The sequence below is a fragment of the Homo sapiens genome, chromosome 13, assembly GCF_000001405.40.
Source record: "Homo sapiens chromosome 13, GRCh38.p14 Primary Assembly".
Lineage (NCBI taxonomy): Eukaryota > Metazoa > Chordata > Mammalia > Primates > Hominidae > Homo > Homo sapiens.
In genome coordinates this window covers 95,088,014-95,110,430 of record NC_000013.11, presented here as the reverse complement: position 1 = coordinate 95,110,430, position 22,417 = coordinate 95,088,014, and the positions used below count along the sequence as shown (strand labels likewise).

General features: G+C 39.2%; 1 protein-coding gene across 6 annotated transcripts in view; it reads left to right on the top strand.

The window, feature by feature from the left end:
- The window catches only part of ABCC4 (ATP binding cassette subfamily C member 4 (PEL blood group)), a 281,617-nt gene that overhangs the window by 191,021 nt on the left and 68,179 nt on the right, over positions 1-22,417 (top strand). For 2 of the 6 annotated variants that reach the window (NM_001301830.2, NM_001105515.3), the window contains one exon: positions 14,252-14,660. The exons of the other annotated variants lie outside the window; for them this stretch is intronic. In NM_001301830.2, coding sequence (NP_001288759.1) covers positions 14,252-14,296 — 45 coding nt within the window. In that variant the 3' untranslated portion in view covers positions 14,297-14,660. Of the gene's footprint in view, positions 1-14,251; positions 14,661-22,417 lie in introns of those variants that run through there. 6 annotated transcript variants of the gene reach the window in all.

Genomic DNA, 22,417 nt, shown 5'->3' with positions numbered 1-22,417 from the left:
GGATGTATCTGGGAATATCTCAAAGTTTCTCCCAAAAGGAAAACATTTCTATTACAAATATGTGACTTGTGAAAATAATTTGTAATTCTTTTCAATATATCTCATTTTTTTTTTTTTTTTTTGAGACAGAGTCTTGCTCTATCACCCAGGCTGGAGTGCAGTGGGGCGATCTTGGCTCACTGCAACCTCCGCCTCCTGGGTTCAAGCAATTCTCCTGCCTCCGCCTCCCGAGTAGCTGAGATTACAGGCACCCACCACCACGCCTGTCTAATTTTTGTATTTTTAGTAGAGATGGGGTTTCACGATGTTGGCCAGACTGGTCTGGAACTCCTGACCTCAAGTGATCTGCCCGTCTCGGCCTCCAAAAGTGCTGGGATTACAGGCGTGCGCCATCACGCCTGGCCAATACGTGTCATTCTTATTACATGTCTTCCTTTTTATTTTTTTTTCCCACCAGCTTTTTATTGAGCTCCTACTATATGCTGAGTATGCAGAGGTGGAAAAGATAGAGGCTTTATCTTCATCCACCTGAGAAGCATTTATTGAGTATCTTGGGTGTACTAGGCCCCATGTTGGGCTTGGAGATATGGGGCTAAGTGAAATTGAATTCCCTTCTTCTATGAGTTTACTCTATTGGGAGGGACAGATAGAAAGCAGTTACCATGCTGTGTGATAAGACTTACAATAGAAGGGATACTGTAGGAGAGAATGGTTAAGGTCTCAGCACGAGACAAATTTCCAATCCTAGCTCTTTCACTTTAAGTTCAATTATGGCTTCCTCCAAGACTGGCCATGCAACACCTAATGCTGGAGTGAGGACTCAAACCCTCTTCTCACAGTGCAGCCATATGTTAGAATAAATATCTAAATAGATTTGTTTTGCTTTGCTTGCCTTTGATTTGTGGCTACAAAGGACATACAAAGAGCAAAATTCAAATTTTCTGGTCCTTAAATCTAATCTCTCTTTAACTTTTGGAAAGAAACTATGTGCATGCCAGACTGTTGGCACCTGTGTGTGTGTGTGTGTGTGTGTGTGTGTTTGCACACCTGTGGCTCACCCTCAAATGTACCCTTCTAATTCTTCATCCTTTAAGGACCAGCGAAAGTCTCTCTTTCGCATTAGTGATGCTTTTCTTTACCACTCCATTCTGTAATAAAACAATCTCTAGGTCCTGTAAAAAGAAGGGATCATATAACACCAGGCTGAGCACTGCTCTGAGCATATTTCACTTGCCCCATCTCATTTAAACTTCACTCATAGTCGTTGAGTCAATCAGTATTTCTTGGACACCTCCTGTATGCCAAGTACTTTTCCAGGATCTAGAGCATGGAGCAGTTAACTGGGTATCAGCTTCTAGGAATTGGCATTCTAGTGCAGGAGGTCGACAATAAACAGACCAATAAACATAAATAATCTAAGTTAGTATAGGTCTAGTGTGTTCAGCAAAGGAAAGTGTTTGCTAATGACTGGACCAGCATAGTCAAGGAGGAGGTGACGTTGAGTTTGAAAAATAAGGAAACAGCCGTGCAAAGAAGATATGGGGGCAGGTTGAGGGAGGGGCACATTGTATGGAGGAGGAACAGGTGCCAGGTCTCCAGAAGGGAACAAAGTGGCATTTCCTCAGGCAGAGAGATGCCAAGCATGAGCAGGGTACCTGTAGTCCCAGCTACCTGGGAGGCTGAGGCAGGAGAATCACTTGAACTTGGGTTGTAGTGAGCCAAAATTGCACCACTGCACTCCAGCCTGGACGACACACTCTGTCTCAAAATAAAATAAAAAAAAAAAAAAGAAAATAGATTTAACGGACTCACAGTTCCATGTGGCTGGGGAGGCCTCACATGGTGGAAGGTGAAGGAGGAGCAAAGGCATGTCTTACATGGCGGCAGGCAAGAGAACATGTTCAAGGGAACTGCTGTTTATAAAATCATCAGATCTCATGTGACTTATTCACTATCACGAGAATACCACGGGAAAAACCCAACCCCATGATTCAGTTACCTCCCCCTGGGTCCCTCCCACAACATGTAGGGATTATGGGAGCTACATACAGTTCAAGATGAGATTTGGGTGGGGACACAGCCAAACCATATCTATCACTAAGTCTCTAATAATAGATTATTTGTCATCTGGTGCCCACCCATCTCCCTATAGAAAGTCATATAATGCTCATTTAATATGAGCCTATGATATTTTAGATATAAACCTTTCAGAAATTGTGGTACTAGCCTTTTTTTCTTACCCCCTGTGTCTTTAGAATTAAAGGTAGACAAACTTAGTTTCCTTTCCCCAAAATTCTTTTAGACATTTTGAGTGGTCAGTAAGATTCCCAGCTGTGGAGACTACTCATTTAAATAACTTTATTCCTGGTTTTATGATAAACCTGGTCTCAAACCCAGGTACCAGAGAAACTGTGACTGTTTTTTAGATATGAGCATCTGGAAGCTCAGGAGAGAGAGGACACTAGATTTTCTTTTCTTTCTTTCTTTTTTTTGAGATGGGGTCTCGCTCTGTCGCCCAGGCTGGAGTGCAGTGGTGTGATCTCTGCTCGCTGCAAACTTTGCCTCCCAGCTTCAAACAATTCTCCCATCTCAGACTCCTCCACAGTGGCTGGGACAACAGGTGTGTACTACCACGCCTGGCTAATTTTATTTTTTGGTAGATATTTGGTAGATACAGGGTTTCACCATGTTGGCCAGACTGGTCTCGAACTCCTGACCTCAGGTGATCCACTCACCTCAGCCTCCCAAAGTGCTGGGATTACAGGAGTGAGCCACCATGCCCAGCCTATATCTTTATCTACAGTATTCTGATGCACCTTTGTTCAGGTTGTGATATATATAGCTCTGTGGTAATACTGTATAAACAAGGAAAAACAATTAACTGTGGCAAAAGCAAAGGCACATTTCTATAGTTACTGTTAAAAAATAACTTTACATTAAAACTTTGTAACAACTGGTGATTGTACATTGTACTAATATTATTCACTGGAAGTGCATTCTTTATAGAAAGTTACATAAGTATACTAAAGAGTTAAATTTAAATACTATAAACATATACAGTACACAGCATAAATATTTTTGTGAAATAAAAACACCTCATGGTTTAATTAAATGGAATGTTTCTGTCACAATTTATACTTTGAATACTCTAGTTTTGTTTTGTTTTGTTTTTTTGAGAGGAGTTTCACTCTTGTCACCGAAGCTGGAGTGCAATGGTGCCATCTCGGCTCACTGTAGCTTCTGCCTCCCTGTTCCAAGTGATTGTCCTGCCTCAGCCTCCCGGGTAGCTGGGATTACAGGTGACTGCCACTATGCCTGGCTAATTTTTTTATTTTTAGTAGAGATGGGGTTTCACCATGTTGGCCAGGCTGGTCTTGAACTCCTGACCTCAGGTGGTCCACCCATATCAGCCTCCCAATGTGCTGGGATTACAGGCATGAGCCACCACGCCCAGCCTGAATACTCTTAAAAACTGTCTGTAAAGGATCTGAACTCCCCCACAGCCCCATGTATTTGATTTTAGACAACAAAGTCTGGGTGCCTTATTTCATGTGTGAAAGAGAAATAGAATCTCAGGTCCCAGACTCCCTATGCCAAAGGGAAAGTTAAGCTTGGGAACAGAGTCACCAGTACCATCTTTCTTTTGTTCCCAAACAGCCATGATTTCACAACCCTACTATCCTGTGTCACTGCCTCATTTCCTGTACTCCCTCCTTTATCTTAATATAAAATACAGATCGACTGAGTGTGAGACAATGCACAATCCACATTTTCTTCTACTCCCTCTTTTCACATGTAAAATGTAGATATACTGGGGCTAATCAGGGTCTCACAAGAAGGTGACCATCTCACTGTCTACCCTCCCTCCCTTTTTCTTTTTTTTATTTTTTTTTCCCTTCTGCTTGCTCTTCTTTAAATACTGAAGTTTACAAAACTCCCTCTAGAAAAAAGCATCACAGATGCCCCTGCCACATTCTCATCTGTGGCTAAATAAACCTCTAATCGATTGAGACCTGCCTTAGTTACTTTTTGGTTAAAATATACGTGTGTGTGCGTATATATGTATATATATATACGCGCACATATATACGCACACACACGCACATACCCCTCAAGAAGCAATTAAACCGTTGATATGTAATCTTCCAATTAAAGTAGCTTGATGCCCATCTTAAACTGTAAATTGAGGAAAATAACATTTGTGGCTGTAATAGATGATTTATGTAGGGCTCTAGGGCAGTCGGAGTCTACATTTTAGCCAGCCTTGTAAACTTGTGTATGGAATTCATAGTTGAACCTATAGAGAGCTGAACCCCTCTAAGGTCTTTGAGCAGCTAAGTGGCAGCTCATCTTGTAATTTTAAGGTTAAACAAGGATGTGTGATGTGTGCACATGCATCTCTCTCCTTTAGAGACGTTATTCCCAGTTGATGGGCTTTACTGAAAATCAGCGAGGCCGGTAACCGGCTTACCCTGTGCACACGTGGTGGTTGTCCTCTGAGTTGTGCCTGGTTGCTTCCTGAAAAGGGTCGTTTTCAGAGTTCTCCCTGCTCTTTGCGGTCACCTGAAAAAGGTCTTTGTGGCAGTGGATGTCTCCTCTATCTTGCTGTTATCATCATCATCTGCATCAGCATCTTGGGGTTGGACAGCAGATCACTCCATTCCAAGCTATGCTGTTGGGAGGCTTCCCTTGGCTTTGGAACTCTTCACTTACCCCATTGCAATTCAGTGTCCAGCAGTGCCGAGGCCACTAGGCTTAGTCACCATACTTCTGCCTGGTGGAAACCTGATTGTGTTTCAGGTTTGGCTTTGTTGTATGAGGTTTTCTGTTTTCGGGAGAATTGTGGATGGAGTTAGTGAAACCAATAGCAGCACTAATGGAGCTTTATGCACATTTGAGTGAAACTGAAAGTTAAGGTATTAACTTCTAACTTGTCCTTGAACCTCCAGGGGTAAATGTTAAATTTATTCTTTAATTTTCTTGCTAATTAGTGCTCTAGGGAGGATGAAGAAGTGAACAACTACTCTTGTTGACTAATCCAGTGGTCCCCAACCCCTGGGCCACAGACCAGTACTAGTCTGTGTGGCCTGTTAGGAACCTGGCCACACAGCAGGAGGTGAGCGGTGGACAAGAAAACAAAGCTTGCTCCCCATCACTCACGTTACCGCCTGACCTCTGCCTCCTGTCAGATCGTCGGCGGCATTAGATTCTCATAGGAGCACGAACCCTGTGAACATTGTGAAATGTGCATGCTAGGGATCTAGCTTGCATCTACCTTATGAGAATCTAGTGCCTGATCATCTGTCATTGTCTCCCATCACCCCCAGATGGGACCATCTAGTTGCAGGAAAACAAGCTCAGGGATCCCACTGATTCTACATTATGGTAAGTTGTATAATTATTTCATTATATATTACCACATAATAATAGAAATAAAGTACACAATAAATGTAATGGGCTTGAATCATCCTGAAACTACCTCCATCGCCATCCATGGAAAAATTGTCCTCCGCGAAACCAGTCCCTGGTGCCAAAAAGGTTGAGGACTGTGTTCTAATCCACTTGTTTGTTTTCACCACCTTCTGGATTCACAGCACCCTCCACTCCACCTGTAGCACATGCCTGCCACTGGGCTGCCTCTGGCGGACCCCATTCTCTGCCCCAATCCTTGGCCTCATTATGCTTCCTCAGAGTCAGTTGTGATTCTTCCTCAACGTATTCATGCTACTTATCCTTGTTACTGTAATTTTGTGATGGCAATACTTATCATATAAACTGATGAAACAGGAATGCCACAAGAAAGATTTGTTTGACAAGTCGAAGCCTTGGGAAAGAAATCTTCACTTTAAAAAATTGTTAACAAATTATGTGTGGATGAGAATAAATGGGGTGGAGATGAGAATTGGAGGAAAATAGGATTGTGTGCTAATAGCTTCACATGTGTCTTAAAATTCATAGATGATGTATTATGTGTGTGATATATACATAAGAAAGACCATGAAAATCTCCAACATCAGACCCGGACATGTTTTTTCATGCCTGTAATCTCAGCACTTTGGGAGGCTGAGGAGGGCAGATCACTTGAGGTCAAGAGTTCCAGACTAGCCTGACCAATGTGGCGAAGCCCCATCTTTACTAAAAACCCAAAAATTAGCTGGGAGTGGTGGTGCACACCTGTAATCCCAGCTACTTGGGAGGCTGAAAGAATTGCTTGAACATGGGAGGTGGAGGTTGCAGTGAGTCAAGATCATACCACTGCACTCCAGCCTGGGCAGCAGAGAGAGACTCCATCTCAACAACAACAACAAAAAAACCCAAACCAAAAAAACCTCAAAACCAACTTTAAGGATTTTGTATTGTGTATCCCTTATTTCCATGCTGGCCAAATACAAGTTCACATCACAGCAGCAAAGGGCTTTGTCTGTTGCCCTGCTTGGGGAAGCTGGTAAGGCTTCCTGGTTATTCCTGAGCCATGTAGGGGAGAAGGAGGCACATATGGCAGGAAGTGCAGGAGTTTAGGATATCTACAGGGACACTGCAGTGTGGAATAGCTGCATCAGGAGGTTTGAGACAAGGCATTAGAGGAGATCAGATGGAGAGATGCAGAGGGGCCAGATCACAAGAAGGCTTGTTTCTTAAGCACAGGAATTTAGAGTTTAGAGATTTGGGTGGAAGGATATGGAGAGGAATGGGAGACTGTCAGAAAGATGGGGTTGTACCAGCATCAGGAAAACAAGAAAGGATACTGGTTTGGACAAGTTTCTCTTTAGGACATCCAGGTCAGAATGCCTTGTGTGGCTAATGAAAGCCCTTGCTTCTGAATAGGGGGCCCACACTGCAGGATAGTCGATCCCCTCAGGCATGTGTCATTCACAAGGCTGTGTCCCAGTAGAAGGCCAGTTAGGTTTGCACACCTCCGTGAATGCTTTACTAGATCAACTGTTAAAGCTGTCAGATATCTTGCCAATCCTGTCAAATTATAGTTGCTTGCAAAATTGGAGCTGTTCTCAATTCCAAAATTAAAAGGAAGCCAGCATCATTTATGTGGTCTGTTTAGGGTGATTCTACCTCAGGATATCAGAGCCATGAAAATTCCCTTTGCAAGTGCTCTTGGTTCTCTAGGAAAAGCTTCAGGTTTTGTTTTTGTTTTCTGTTTTTTTGTTTTTGAGACGGAGTCTCGCTCTGTCGCCCAGGCTGGAGTGCAGTGGCGTGATCTCAGCTCACTGCAAGCACTGCCTCCCAGGTTCATGCCATTCTCCTGCCTCAGCCTCCCAAGTAGCTGGGACTACAGGTGCATGCTACCACGCCAGGCTAATTTTTGTATTTTTAGTAGAGACAGGGTTTCACCGTATTGGCCCGGCTGGTCTCGAACTCCTGACCTCGTGATCCACCCACCTCAGCCTCCCAAAGTGCTGGGATTACAGGCGTGAGCCACTGCGCCCGGCCCAGCTTCAGGTTTTAAAGGTGTGAGTGTTGAGTGTGCTACTGTGAATAAGATTAGATGTGACTGGGCCAGGTGTGGTAGTTCACACCTGTAATCCCAGCACTTTGGGAGGCCAAGGTGGGTGGATCACTTGAGGTCAGGAGTTTGAGACCAGCCTGGCCAACATGGTGAAACCCCATCTCTACTAAAAATACAAAAATTAGCTGGGCGTGGTGGCGGGCCCTTGTAATACCAGCTACTTGGGGGGCTGAGGCAGGGAGAATTGCTTGAATCCAGGAGACAGTGGTTGCAGTGAACCAAGATTGTGCCATTGCACTCCAGACAGGGCGAGACTCGATCTAAAAAAAAAAAAGGTGTGACTAGATATCACTTGTAAGTAAATAACTTCAAAGTATAATGTAGGGGCCAGGTGTGGTGGTCCATGCCTGTAATCCCAGAACTTTGGGAGGCCGAAGTGAGAGGATTGCTCAAGGTCAGGAGTTCAAAACCAGCCTGGGCGACATAGTGAGACCCCCTTCTCTATAAAAATAATAAAAGACTTTGCCAGAGATGGTGTCTTATGGTTGTAGTCCTAGCAATTTGGGAGGCCGACCTGGAAAGAACTCTTGAACCCAGGAGTTTGAGACCAGCCTGAGCATTATGGTGAGACCCTGTCTCTACAAAAAAATAAAACAATTAGCTAGGTGTAGTGGTGCGTGCCTGTAGTCCCAGCTACTCTGGAGGCTGAGTCCGGAAGATCACTTGAGCCCAGAAGTTCGAGGTTGCAGTGAACCACAGTTGTGCTACTGCACTCCAGCCTGAGCAACAGAGCCAGACCCAGACTCAAAAGAACCAAAAAATAATAATAAAAAATTTCAAGTGTAGTGTAGGATGGAATGGGAGAGGCTTGGAATCATCCTTCTTAAGTTTGACTCCTAGCTCTACCGCTTACCTTCTCTTTCCTCACAAAGCCACATGCTACGTCTCTGTAAAATGGAGAAAATTCTACCTATTCCATGAGGGTTATTGTGAGGATAAAATGAAGTCATTTCAATAACATTCTTAGCATAACATCTAAGCTCACTAAATAAAAGGTACTTTTTAAATACTACGTATATTTTTAAGTGGGAGAAATAGCCTGACAATGACATTATGCTGCATTAAGGTAATTGTCAGACAGTTACCAGACCCATAAGTATTAGGACATGAGTTTGTATTCCAGATATTAGGTTTATTATCCCTGAAGGCTTTAATGGCTATTTTCTCTTCTGGAACCACAGTATCAAAATCAGTTGTTTTCAGAATAAACCAGTGAGCACTAAATATCTCATAATAACGTAATTTTCATAATATTGCTGAAACTTCCTTGGCCCTTGATAACATTGAGTGTAGAGTCTGAGTTATCTAGACTTCTGCTAGCTAAAATCTTTGCCTCTAAGAAGTCTTCCTACTAGAAAAAAACAAATGAAAAATGAAGATAAGATGCAGAGGTTGGATTTAGGCATTTTAATTTTTTCTGTTTAAATTTGGGAGTGCTCCGAGTGTGCTAACTTGCACACAGCTGCACTCAGCAAAATACTGTAATATATTGAGGCACACGGAATTGCAAAACCTTTCTTCCCTACACACCCCTCATCTAAAAAAAAAAAAAAATCAGCAGCTTGACTGAGCTTAAATAACTGACTTTTCATATCCTTTCATGGAACACAAAGGACTAGTCCTGAGGCTACTTGAGCCACCAATGCAGGCAGCAGTGGAGACCACCACTGAATGTGCCAGTCCCTCCTCCCACAAACAAAACACATTGACTGCAGCTTTATGAAGTGAAATGCCCAAGAAAAAGAAAATGTGAAGGAGGTGTCCTCAGTCATTTCTTCCCTAGGGGGGTGGGAGGGCAGGATGAGGGGCAGGAGAAAAAGCTGCTGCATCTGGATGTGGAGAACAAAGCCATCCTAAGACTTGAGTATAATAGGTTGGGTCACTCGCTTTTATAGAAGCAAAAGAGTGGAACTGCCTTGACTTGTCTCAGTACCACTGACCCTTACATTTCATTGTGTAGAGATGTCAGGGAAAGTGTGTAGAAAGCACACTGAACAATGACTTTGTCATTTTGAGATTTCTGAGGTTTGTTCACCCCTTCCCCCAACTCCTACCCTCAAATCCCCATTGGACAAAAGAGATCGTTAGTTAGGTCGCCTTGCCGTCATTTGAAAGATCTCTGTTTTACTGAGTCTTTCAAAAGTAAACTCATCCATTTTAACTGAATCACGGCGTTCTCATGCTTTCAAAGTCAACAAAAGAGTTTTAGTCACTGCATTTACAAGGATGGACTAGTCTGTGAAAATGCCAGCCCTAGAGATAATGATTCATGCCAACTGCCACATTAAAGTGGATTTCCTTGTTAATAGACAGGGCAGTTGATGACATGAGTTACTGGAAATATTTGCCAACTCTTGACCCCTGGATTTCTGAGATCAGGATGATAGGATTCACACAGGCCCACTCTAACAATTCCTTTACCTTTTCTTTTTTAATGAAAGATGCAATGGTTGGGTTTTTTCCAGTGTGATAGCACATGTAGAAAGCAGTACTGTCACCATTAGTGTGGTGACAGTTAATCACTGGGGACCCTCCCAGGCTTCCCAGGCTGGCAACCAGTGTTCCAATTTTTCCCAGCATGTGTGTTCCAATGATAATGTTTGTAGTTTAACAAGAAGCTAATTAAGACCTAAAGAAAAAAATTAAGAGTCTCATTTTTATCAAGTCTGGTGGTATTCAGCAGAGCATAGAACTTTCCATTCTGGCATATTGGATGATGTCCATTGCAAAACAATAGTGGCCATTCGTGGTGCTTTCTCTTCTTGTCATTTTGCATCCTTAGTAATGATAAAATGGACAGCTATTACCCAGGAGAGGAAAATGGCCAAATGTTTACTTAATTGAGGACCTTTAAATTCTCTCTATGCTATTCTTGATTGATTACATTCATTTTTGTCTGTATACCTACTGAGTTTTCTTGATAAGATGAACAAAAAAAGGTTTGGACTGGAGAACTTGCCTGAGTTTTATTAAAATCTTGCAGTCACTATTTTCTATATGGATGTATCACTTCCATCTGATGTGGGGCATGGGTAAGTGTAATCTGTTCTACTTGTGAGTTTTGTGACTCACTTGTTTTCTTTCAGCCCTTTCCCTGGGTTCATTGACTTAGTGTTCTCTCTCATTTGCGTTGAGTCATGAAGCCGATAGTGCCGCTTGTGCATCGCAGCAAAGGGCCAGCCACCTATGGGACACGTATCAAACATGGATCAGGAGCCATTTTTGTTCTAGGGCACATGGGCTGGTTACCATTAGTTCTCACATTTGCCCTTTCCCACCCTCAATGCACCTGAGGAGATCATCTCTTAGCGTTATGGTTGTGTATTGATACACTGCCCAACCTCTGCCTGAACATGGCCAAAGGGATGGGAATGAAATTCTAGTGTCATATTTTTTTTACCCTATCTATTTTTATTGAGGTATAGTTTATATACAATAAAATCGACAGTTTTTTTTAGGTTGAATTTTACTAATTGTGTACATTCCAATATCCACCCTCTAAAACAAGATGTAGAGCATTTCCATCTCCTCAGGAAGTCTCCTTTGCTCCTCTGCAGTCAATTTTCACACCTCTACACCTCTTCCAGATTTCTGTCAACATCAATTAGTTTTCCTGTTCTTGAACTACGTATAAATGGAACCAATAATTTTTCTGTGGCTGGATTCTTTTGTTCACCATGTTTTTGAGTTCTGTGTATGTTTCAGTGGTTCATTTCTTTGTTTTCTTTTTCTGAGTGATATTTCATTGTATGATGACATCAACATTTATTTGTCTACTCTCTGATTGATGGGTATTTGAATTGTTGCCAGTTTTTAGCAATGAATGTTCTTATAGAAGTGTTTATGGGTACACTACATATGTTTTCATTCATCTCAGATAAAATGCATAGGAGTGGAATTGCTGGGTTCGTAAAGTTCACTTTAAAAACCAAAAATCAAACTATGACAAGGATTTTTATAATGGTTGTACTATTTTACACACCCAGTGGCAATATATGAGCATTCTAGTTGCTCCACATCCTCGCCAACATTTAGTATGATCAATCTTTTTGTTTTTATTCTTTTTAGTAGAGTATAGATGATCCATTTGCATTGCCTTGATGATTAATATTGAGCTTTTTCCATACAGGCTAATTGGCCATTCAAGTGTCTTATTTTCTGAAATACTGGTTCAGATCTCCTGCCAGCTTTTTAAAACGTGTTTTTAAAAATCTTGTTGATTTTTTAGTTTTTAATATACATAAGTGTATTTGTATATGTTTAATATTAGGCATTTGTGAATATTTCCTGTTTTGCAAATTGTGGTTTTTAATACATTTGCTTATTTCGTCTTCACTGGAGAACTTTTTGCATGAAACTGTTCATAATCTCACATTTGTCCATTTAATGTCTTTATAATCTATAGTGAAATTTCTTCTTTTATTCCCGACACTGATAATTTGTTTCTGTCAATCAGTTTAGCTTGGAGTTTATCAATTTTGATTTTTTTTCCAGTGAATTCATGTTTGATTTTGTAATTTTCTCTGTAGTTGGTAGATTTTCTATTTCATTAATTTCTTATATTTTTTAAGTTACATTGATTTAATTTATCTTTTTCTTTAGCTTTTTAAGATTGAACATTAATCTGTTGGTTTTCATTTGTTTCATAATATATGCATTTAAAGTTATACTTCCTCTAAGTATTGCTTAGCTGCATCCAATGATTTTGATATGTTGTGTTTTCATTATCTACAGTTCAGAATATTTATGAGTTGACTTTTTTTTTTTTTTTTTTAGACAGTATCTCACTCTGTCGCCCAGGCTGGAGTGCAGTGGTGCAATCTCGGCTCACTGCAACCTCCACCTCCCAGGTTCAAGCGATTCTTGTGCCTCAGCCTGTTGAATAGCTGGGATTACAGGCGCACATCACCACACCCAGCTAATTTTTGTATTTTTAGTAGAGATGGAGTTTCACCATGTTGCCCAGGTTGGTCTGAAACTCCTGGCCTCAAGTGAGCCTCCCACCTCAGCCTCTAAAAGTGCTGGGATTATAGGCGTGAGCCACTGTACCTGGCCCATGAGTTGACTTTCTGAAGTAATATTTTAGTAGTGAGTTATTATGGAGTATATAACTTCATTTCTAAAGATTTAGGGATTTTTTTTTTTTAAAAAACCTTACTGCTACTGATTTCTAATTAGCCTTGTTGTAATTCGATAACATATTCTGTAATATTTCTAACCTTTGAAATGTATTGAGACTTCTTTAATGGCCCAGTATTTACTTTACTTTGGTAACGGTCCCCTGTGCATTTGAAAAAAAAAAAAAAAAAAAAAAAAGAATGTATATTCTGTAGCTGTGGAGTATAGAGTTCTAAAAATGACAGGTCAAGTTGGCTTATAATATCTGGATCTTCAGTATCTTTACTGAATTTTTGTCCACTGTTCTGTCATTTACTAAGAGTGGGGTGTTTTTGCTTGGTATCTCTCTCTCTCTCTGTATTTACAGTCTTTGTTGTAAGCAGCATCTAATTAGGTCTGGCTTTTTAAATGCTCAGCTGAAATTCTCTGTCATTTTATGTGGAGTTTCATCCATGTACATTTAATGTAATTATAGATATGGTTGGTTTTAAGTCTACCATCTTGGTATTTGTCTTCTGTTAGTCTCATATGTTCTTTTCCTTCTTTGCAGTGAATAGAATATATGTTCTTATTTTTTCTATCACATTTTTAGCTCTACTCTTTATGTTATTGTTTTTAGTGGTTGCTCTAGAGTTTACATATCCATTTAAGTTTATTGCAATCTATTTTCAAATAATTTCCTACCAAATTTGCAAACAATAGAATAATCTTACTATTATATAATTTATTTCTGCTATTCTTTGGGCTTATGTTGTCATATTGTTTACTTCTACATATGCTATAAACTTCATGATATATTGGGTCCATTTTGCTTTAAATAACCAATGGTCTTTTAAAGAAATTTATACATATGTATGCATGTATGTGCATACATATTATAGAAAATTGTGTTTTATATTTATTCACATATTTGTCCTTTCCAGTGCTCTTTATTTCTTTCTGAAGTCTGAGCTTCCATCTGGTATCATTTTCCTTAAGCCTGAAGAACTTCCTTTCAGGCTGGTCTGCTAGAGACCTTCTCCTAGCTTTTGCCCATCTGAGCATGTCTTTATTTCAACTTTGTTTTTAATGATCTTTTCAACAGATAGAAGATTCTAGGTTGACAGTTTTCTTTTTTTTTCCTTTTTTTGGCACTGTACATATATCACATCATTGTCTTCTCCCTTCATTGTTTCTGATGAGAAACCATCATTATTATGCTTGTTGCACTATACATTATGACTCTTCATGGCTGCTTTTTAAAACAATTTCCTCTTTGAGTTTTTGCTGTTTGACTATATGTGTTTAGTATCCTTCTTGGGATTAATGAGCTTCAATATATGGGTTGGTATTTTTATTTAATTTTGGAAAATTATGAGTACTTTATGTTTTGATACACTTTTCTTTTCTTTCTCTTTTAACTCCTTAACTTCTGGGACTGAAAATGATAGTATGTTAGACTGTTTGGTGTAGCTCCAAGATCTAGGGTGTTGCATTCCAGTCTTTCAGTCTTTTTTATTTTTGTCTTTCATTTGGATAATTTGTATTGCTCTGTCTTTAGGGTCATTGATTCTTTCTCTTATCCCAATCTGCTGCCAGCCCATTGAATATGTTTTTTTTTTTCTTTCATAGAGATGGGATCTCGCTGTGTTGTCCTGGCTGGTCTCAAACTCCTAGGCTCAAGCAATCCTCCTCCCTCCTCAAGCAAACCTCAGTGCTGGGATTATAGGCATGAGCCACTGTACCTGGCTAAATGTTGTTTTTTTGATATTCAATTTTTGTTTATAGAATTTTCATTTGTTTTGCTCTTATACTTTTCATCTTTTTATGTTTATTGACCAATTAAATATCATTTGGGTAAGCACCTATTTAAGTGTCTTAACAATTTTTCTATTGAGTACTCTGGGTTTTTGTTTTGTTTTTCTTACTGATTTGTAGAATTCTTTATGTATTCTGAATTGCAGATACCTTCCTTCTGTACTAATGCTTATCTTTTTAGCCCTGTAATATTGTGTTTTCATAAACATACTTATCAATCTTTTCCTTTATGGTCATTGATTTTTGTGTTCTGTTTAAAAAAATCTGTATCTATTTCAGTGTCTTATTTATTTATTTGTTAGTTTTCCATAAGTTACTGAGGTACAGGTGGTATTTGGTTACATGACTAAGCTCTTTAGTGGTGATTTGAGAGATTTTGGTGCACCCATCACCCAAGCAGTGTACACTGCACCATATTTGTAGTGTTTTATCCCTCGCCCTCCTCCCACTCTTCCCCCTAAACCCCCAAAGTCCATTGTATCATTCTTATGCCTTTGCATCCTCATAGCTTAGCTCCCATGTATCAGTGAGAACATACAATGTTTGGTTTTCCATTCCTGAGTTACTTCACTCAGAATAATAGTCTCCAGTCTCATCCAGGTCACTGCAAATGCTGTCAGTTCATTCCTTTCTATGGTTGAGGAGTATTCCATCAGATAGATAGATAGATAGATAGATAGATAGATAGATAGATAGATAGATAGATAATCTCACAGTTTCTTTATCCACTCATTGATTGATGGGCATTTGGGTTGGTTCCATGATTTTGCAATTGTGAATCGTGCTGCTATAAACATGTGTGTGCAAGTATCTTTTCCAAATAATGATTTATTTTCCTCTGGGTAGATAGCCAGTAGTGGGATTGCTGGATCAAATGGTAGATCTACTTTTAGTTCTTTAAGGAATTTCCACACTATTTTCCATAGCGACTGTACTAGTTTACATTCCCACCAGCAGTGTAGAAGAGTTCCCTGATCACTGCATCCATGCCAACATCTACTGTTTTCTGATTTTTTTATTATGGCCATTCTTGCAGGAGTAAGGTGGTATCACATTGTGTTTTTGATTTGCATTTCCCTAGTCATTAGTGATAGTGAGCATTGTATATCTTCTTTCCAGAATTTTCTCTTCATGTCCTAAGTCCACTTTCTGATGAGATTTTTTTTTCTTACTGATTTGTTCTAATTCATTGTAGACTCTGGATATTACTCCTTTGTCAAATGTGTATAGATTGTGAAGATTTACTCCCACTCTGTGTGTTGTCTCTTCACTCTGCTGAATGTGCCTTTTGCGGTGCAAAAGCTCCTTAGTTTAATTAAGTCCCTACTATTTATCTTTGTTTTTATTGCATTTGCTTTTGGGTTCTTAGTCATGAAATCCTTGCCTAAACCAATGTCTAGAAGGGTTTTTCCAATGTTATCTTCTAGAATTTTTATAGTTTCCAGGTCTTAGATTTAAGTCTCTGATCCATCTTGAGTTGATTTTTGTATAAGGTCAGAGATAAGGATCCAGTTTCATTCTCCTACATGTGGCTAGCCAGTTATCCCAGCACCATTTGTTGAAAAGGGTGTCCTTTCCCCACTTTATGATTTTGTTTGCTTTGTCAAATATCAGTTGGCGGTTAAGTATTTGGGTTCTCTATTCTGTTCCATTGGTCTGTGTGCCTATTTTTATACCAGTACCATGCTGTTTTGGTGACTATGGCCTTATAGTACAGTTTGAAATCAAGTAGTGTGATGCCTCCAGATTTGTTCTGTTTGATTAGTCTTGCTTTGGCTCTGCGGGCTCTTTTTTGGTTCCATGTGAATTTTAGAATTTTTTTTTTTAATTCTGTGCAGAATGATGGTGGTATTTTGATGGGAATTGCATTGAATTTGTAGATTGCTTTTGGCAGTATGGTCATTTTCACAATATTGATTCTATCCATCCATGAGCATGAGATGTATTTCCATTTATTTGTGTTGTCTATGATTTCTTCCAGCAGTGTTTTGTAGTTTTCCTTGTAGAGGTCTTTTGATTCCTTGGTTAGGTATATTCCTAAGTATTTTATTTTATTTTAATTTTTGCAGCTATTGTAAAAGGGGTTTAGTTCTTGATTTGATTCTCTACTTGGTTCCTGTTGGCGTATAGAAGAGCTACTGATTTGTGTACATTAATCTTATATCTGGAAACTTTGCTCAATTATTTTATCAGTTCTAGGAGCTTTCTGGAGGAGTCTTTAGGCTTTCCAAGGTAAACGACAGTTTGACTTCCTCTTTACCAATTTGGATGCCCTTTATTTCTTTCTTTTGTCTGATTGATCTGGCCAGGACTTCCAGTACTATGTTGAAGAGGAGTGGTAAGAGTGGGCATCCTTGTCTTGTTCCAGTTCTCCGAGGAAATGCTTTCAACTTTTCCCCATTCAGTATCATGTTGGCTGTGGGTTTGTCATAGATGGCTTTTATTACATTGAGGTATGTCTCTTGTATGCCGATTTTGCTGAGAGTTTTAATCTTAAAGGGATGCTGGATTTTGTCGAATGCTTTTTCTGCATCTATTGAGATGATTATGTGATTTTTTGGTTTTAATTTTGTTTATGTGGTGTATCACATTTATTGACTTGCATATGTTAAACCATCTCTACATCCCTGGTATGAAACCCACTTGATCATGGTGGCTTATCTTTTTGATATGTTGTTGGATTCAGTTAACAAGTATTTTGTTAAGGATTTTAGCATCTATGTTCATCAAGGATATCGGTTTGCAGTGTTCTTTTTGGTTATGTCCTTTCCTCGTTTTGGTATTATGGTGATGCTGGCTTTATAGAATGAATTAGGGAGGGTTCCTTCTTTCTCTGTCTTATGGAATAGTGTCCAAAGGATTGGTACCAATTCTTCTTTGAATGTCTGGTAAAATTCTGCTGTGAATCTGTCTGGTCTTGGACTTTTTTTTGTTGGTAATTTTTAAATTACCATTTCAGTCTTGCTGCTTGTTATTGGTCTGTTCAGGGTATCTAATTCTTCCTGATTTAAGCTAGGAGGGTTGTATTTTTCCAGGAATTTATCCATCTCTTCTAGGTTTTCTAGTTTATGTGTGTAAAGATGTTCATAGTAGCCTTGAATGATCTTTTGTATTTCAGTGGTGTCAGTTAATTTTTCTCTCTTCTTTTCTTGGTTAATCTTGCTAATGGCCTATCAATTTTATTTACCTTTTCAAAAAACCAGCTTTTTGTTTTATTTATCTTTTGTGTTTTGTTGTTGTTGTTTCATTTCATTTAGTTCTGCTCTGATCTTAGTTATTTCCTTTCTTCTGCTGGGTTTGGGTTTGGTTTGTTCTTGTTTCTCTAGTTCCTTGAGGTGTGACCTTGGAATGTCAGTTTGTGCTCTTTCAGCTTTTTCAATGCAGGTGTTTAAGGCTATGAACTTTCCTCTTAGTACTGCCTTTGCTGTATCCCAGAGGTTTTGATAGGTTGTGTCATTATTGTCATTCAGTTTGAAATATTTTTTAATTTCCATCTTGATTTCATTTTTGACCCAATGCTCATTCAGGAGCAGATTATTTAATTTCCATGTATTTGCATGGTTTTGAAGATTCCTTTTGGAGTTGAATCATATGGTCTATCTTGGAAAAAGTTCCATGCACTGTCGAATAGAATGTGTATTCTGCAGTTGTTGGATGAAATGTTCTATTTATGTATGTTAAGTCCATTTGTTCCAAGGTATAGTTTAAATCCATTGTTTCTTTGTTGACTTTTTGTCTTAATGATCTGTCTAGTGCTGTCAGTGAAGTATTGAAGTCCCCCACTGTTATTGTGTTGCTGTCTCTCTTATTTCTTAATTCTATTAGTAATTGTTTTATAAATTTGAGAGCTGTAGTGTTGGGTGCATATATGTTTAGGACTGTGATATTTTCCTTTTGGACAAGGCCTTTTACTGTTAGATAATGTCCCTCTTTGTCTCTTTTAACTGCTGTTGCTTTAAAGTTTGTTTTGTCTGATATAAGAATAGCTGCCCCTGCTGTGTTTCATGTCGATTTGCATGAAATCCTTTTTCCACCCCTTTAAGTTTCTGTGAGTGCTTATGTGTTAGGTGAGTCTCCAGAAGGCAGCAGATTGGTTGGTGAGTTTTTATCCATTCTGCACTTCTGTATCTTTTAAGTGGAGCATTTAGGCAATTTACATTCAATATTAGTGTTGAGATGTGAGGTACTGTTGTATTCATCGCGCTGTTTGTTGTCTGTGTACTTTGTGTTTTTTTTGTTTGTTTTTGCTTTTTAACTTGTATTTTTGTTTTATAGGTCCTGTATGATTTATGCTTTAAAGAGTTTCTGTTTTGATGCGTTTCCAGGATTTGTTTCAAGATTTAGAGCTCCTTTTAGCAGTTTCTTACAGTGGTGGTTTGGTAGTAGTGAATTCTCTTAGCATTTGTTTGTTTGAAAAAAACTGTATCTTTCTTTCATATGTGGAGCATAGTTTCACTGGATGCAAAATTCTTGGCTGATCATTGTTTTGTTTGAGGAGGCTGAAGATAGGGCCCCAATCCCTTCTAGCTTATAGGGTTTCTGCTGAGAAATCTGCTGTTAATCTGATAGGTTTTCCTTTATAGGTTACCTGGTGCTTCTGTCTCACAGCTCTTAAGATTCTTTCTTTGGTCTTACCTTTGGGTAACCTGATGACAGTGCACCTAGGTGATGATTTTTTTCAATGAATTTCCCAGGTGTTCTTTGTGCTTCTTGTATTTGGATGTCTAGGTCTCTAGCAAGGCTGAAGAAGTTTTCCTCGATTATTTGCCCAAATATGTTTTCCAAGCTTTTAGAATTCTCTTCTTCCTCAGGAACACTGATTATTCTTAGGCTTGGTCGTTTAACATAATCCCAGACTTCTTGGAGGTTTTGTTCATATTTTCTTATTCTTTTTCCATTTGTATTTGTTGGATTGGGTTAATTAGAAGACCTTGTCTTTGAGTTCTTTCTTCTACTACTTGTTTCTTCTTCTTTCTTCTACTTATTCAGTTCTATTGCTGAGACTTTCCAGAGCATTTTGCATTTCTGTAAGTGTGTCCAATGTCTCTCGAATTTTTGATTTTTTTTAAGCTATCTGTTTCTTTGACTATTTCTCCCTTTATGTCTTGTATTATTTGTTGGATTTCCTTGCATTGTGCTTTGCCTTTCTCTGGTGCCCCCCTGATTAGCTTAATAACTAACCTCCTAAATTCTTTTTCAGGTAAATCAGGGATTTCTTCTCAGTTTGGATCCATTGCTGGTGAACTAGTGTGATTTTGTGAGGCTGGTAAAGAGCCTTATTTTGTCACATTATCAGAGTGGGTTTTCTAGTTCCTTTTCTCATTTGGGTAGGCTCTGTCAGAGGGAAGGTCTTGAGCTGAAGGCTGTTGTTCAGATTCTTTTGTCCCACAGGGTGTTCCCTTGATATAGTACTCTCTCCCTTTTGGTGTGGATACGGCTTCCTGTGAGCCGAACCGCGGTGATTATTGTCTCTCTTCTGGGTCTAGCCACCCAGTGAGTCTGCCTGGTTCCCGGTTGGCACTGGCGGTTGTCTGCAGAGAGTCCTGTGATGTGAACCTCACAGAGATCTCTTTGGGTCTCTCAGCCATGGATACCAGCACCTGTTCCGGTGGAGGTGGTCGGGGGGTGCAATGGACCCTGTGACGGTTCTTAGCTTTGGTTTAATGCTCTATTTTTGTACTGGTTGGCCTCCTGTTGGAAGGTGGCACTTTGCAGAGAGCATTAGCTGTGGTAGCATGAAGAGGAACTAGCAGTGCACAGGACCCTAGGACTCCCTGGATTATATGCCCTTTGTCTTCCACTACCACAGTGCGTAGGGAAGGACCATCAGGTGGGGGCAGGGCTAGGCATGTCTGAGCTCAGACTCTCCTTGGGTGGGTCTTGCTGCAGAGTATTTGGGGTGTCTCCTAGGTCCTGCAGTAGCAGTCCACTTCCTTCAAAGGGTCTGTGGCTCCTCTTGGGATTGCTGGTTTGTTCTTGAAGTCGATCCAGAGCTAAAGTTCACATGCAAGCCTCTGCACACTGCTCTGTTAGTCCGAGTCAGAGCTGCAATCTAGTCCTGCCTCTCGTCTGCCATGATCCCACCTCTTGGGATTGGCTTCTTTTTTTTTTTCTTTTTTTGACAGAGTCTCACTGTCACCTAGGCTGGAGTGCAGTGGCATGATTTCGGCTCACTGCAACTTTCATCTCCTGGGTTCAAGCCCTGGTGTTTTCTTGCCACTATTTATATGATCATGTGGTTCTTCCTGTTTCGTTAACCTGATAAATAGCATTGATTGATTAATTGTCAGATCTTAAATCAGGCTTGTATTACTGGTGTAAACAGTTTATAAAGTATAATTATTTTTTATGTTCTTAGATTCAGTGTATTTAGTATGTTATTTAGTGTTCTTTTTTGTTGTTGTTTGCTTTTTCACCCAAGCTGGAGTGCAGTGGCGTGATCTCAGCTTCCGGTTGCAAGTGTTTCTCCTGCCTCAGCCTCCCAAGTAGCTGGGATTACAGGTGCCCGTGACCACGCCTAGCTAAATTTTGTATTTTTAGTAGAGACGGGGTTTCACCATGTTGGCCAGGCTGGTCTCAAACTCCTGACCTTGTGATCCGCCCTCCTTGGCCTCCCAAAGTGCTGGGATTACAGGTGTGAGTCACCGGGCCCGGACTTAGTGTTCTTAACACAGTTTGGTTTATAATTTTCCTTTCTTTGGTTTTTATATCAGGATAATGCTGGATTCCAATTCTCTAGAAGAATTTGATAAAACTTCTGCAAAATCATCTTGTGACCCATCTTTGTTTTTTCTATGGGAAATTTTTGTGTCATGAATTCATATTCTTAAATTCAATAATAGAATTATTCAGATTTAGGTTTTTTATTATGTCAGTCTTTGCCCATCATTTTTCCAGAAATTTGCCTTTTGCATCAAAATTTTTAATTTATTGGAACGGTGTTTATTATATATTCTTTTTAATGCCTGTAGTATCTCTTCTGTTATTCCCTGTTAATTCATGATAATGATAATTTTCCTCTCTTTTTTTCTTGATTAGTCTTTTTGAAGTTTATTGATTTCATCAGTTTTTTTATATAATGAGGCTTTGGGTTTGTTGATTTTTCTCCTTCAAATTAGTTTTCTATTTAATCATTTTCTCCTTTTTTCTAATTTCCATTTTTCTCAGATTTTAATTTAATATGCTACTCATTTTTCTATCTTTGTAAGGTATATTTTTAGATCCTTTACTTTTAACCTGTCTTTAAAAAAAAGTTTGAAGGAATAATTTTACTTGTAAACAGCATTAGTTGCAGTCCTGAAATTTTAATATTATTAGGTTTTCATTTTCTTTTATTTGAAAAGTTTCTAATTTTATTGTAATTTATTTGAAACAGGTGTTATATAGAAATATATTGCTGAATTCCTAACATTTCTAGTTACATTTCTAATTACATTGATTTCATGTTAAATCCACTTATGTCAGAATATATTCTGTATAATATCTGTCTCTTGAAGTTTGATGATACTTGCTTTATGGCATAATAAAGATGCACTTGAAAAGTGTGTTTATGCAGTTATTGGCTATAGTATTGTAGCCTTTAGGTCATCATTAAGTCAAGTTTATTAATCATGTTTTCAAATTTTCTCTGTCGATTTTTATGTGCTTGTTATATCAGTTATTAAGATAAGTGGGTTAAAACTTATCTTTTATTTCCACTTTTATATGCCTTTTCTAAGATGTGTATTTTTAAGGTAGCATATAGACGGACTTCAGCCTTGAATTTCATAATAAACATTAACATGGAAAAAATGTACAAAGGAAACCATCTGTCAGTGAGATATGCTGACCACAAAGGAAGGGAGAGGTGCACCACATTGCTCTAATGCCTTACACCATTCACTCTTCATTGGAGTTAGCTGGGACTCAGGATTAAGCACTAACCGAAGTCCAACACAGGTACCAGCGCTGGATGTCAAAAGATCAGATTAGCATATGAGG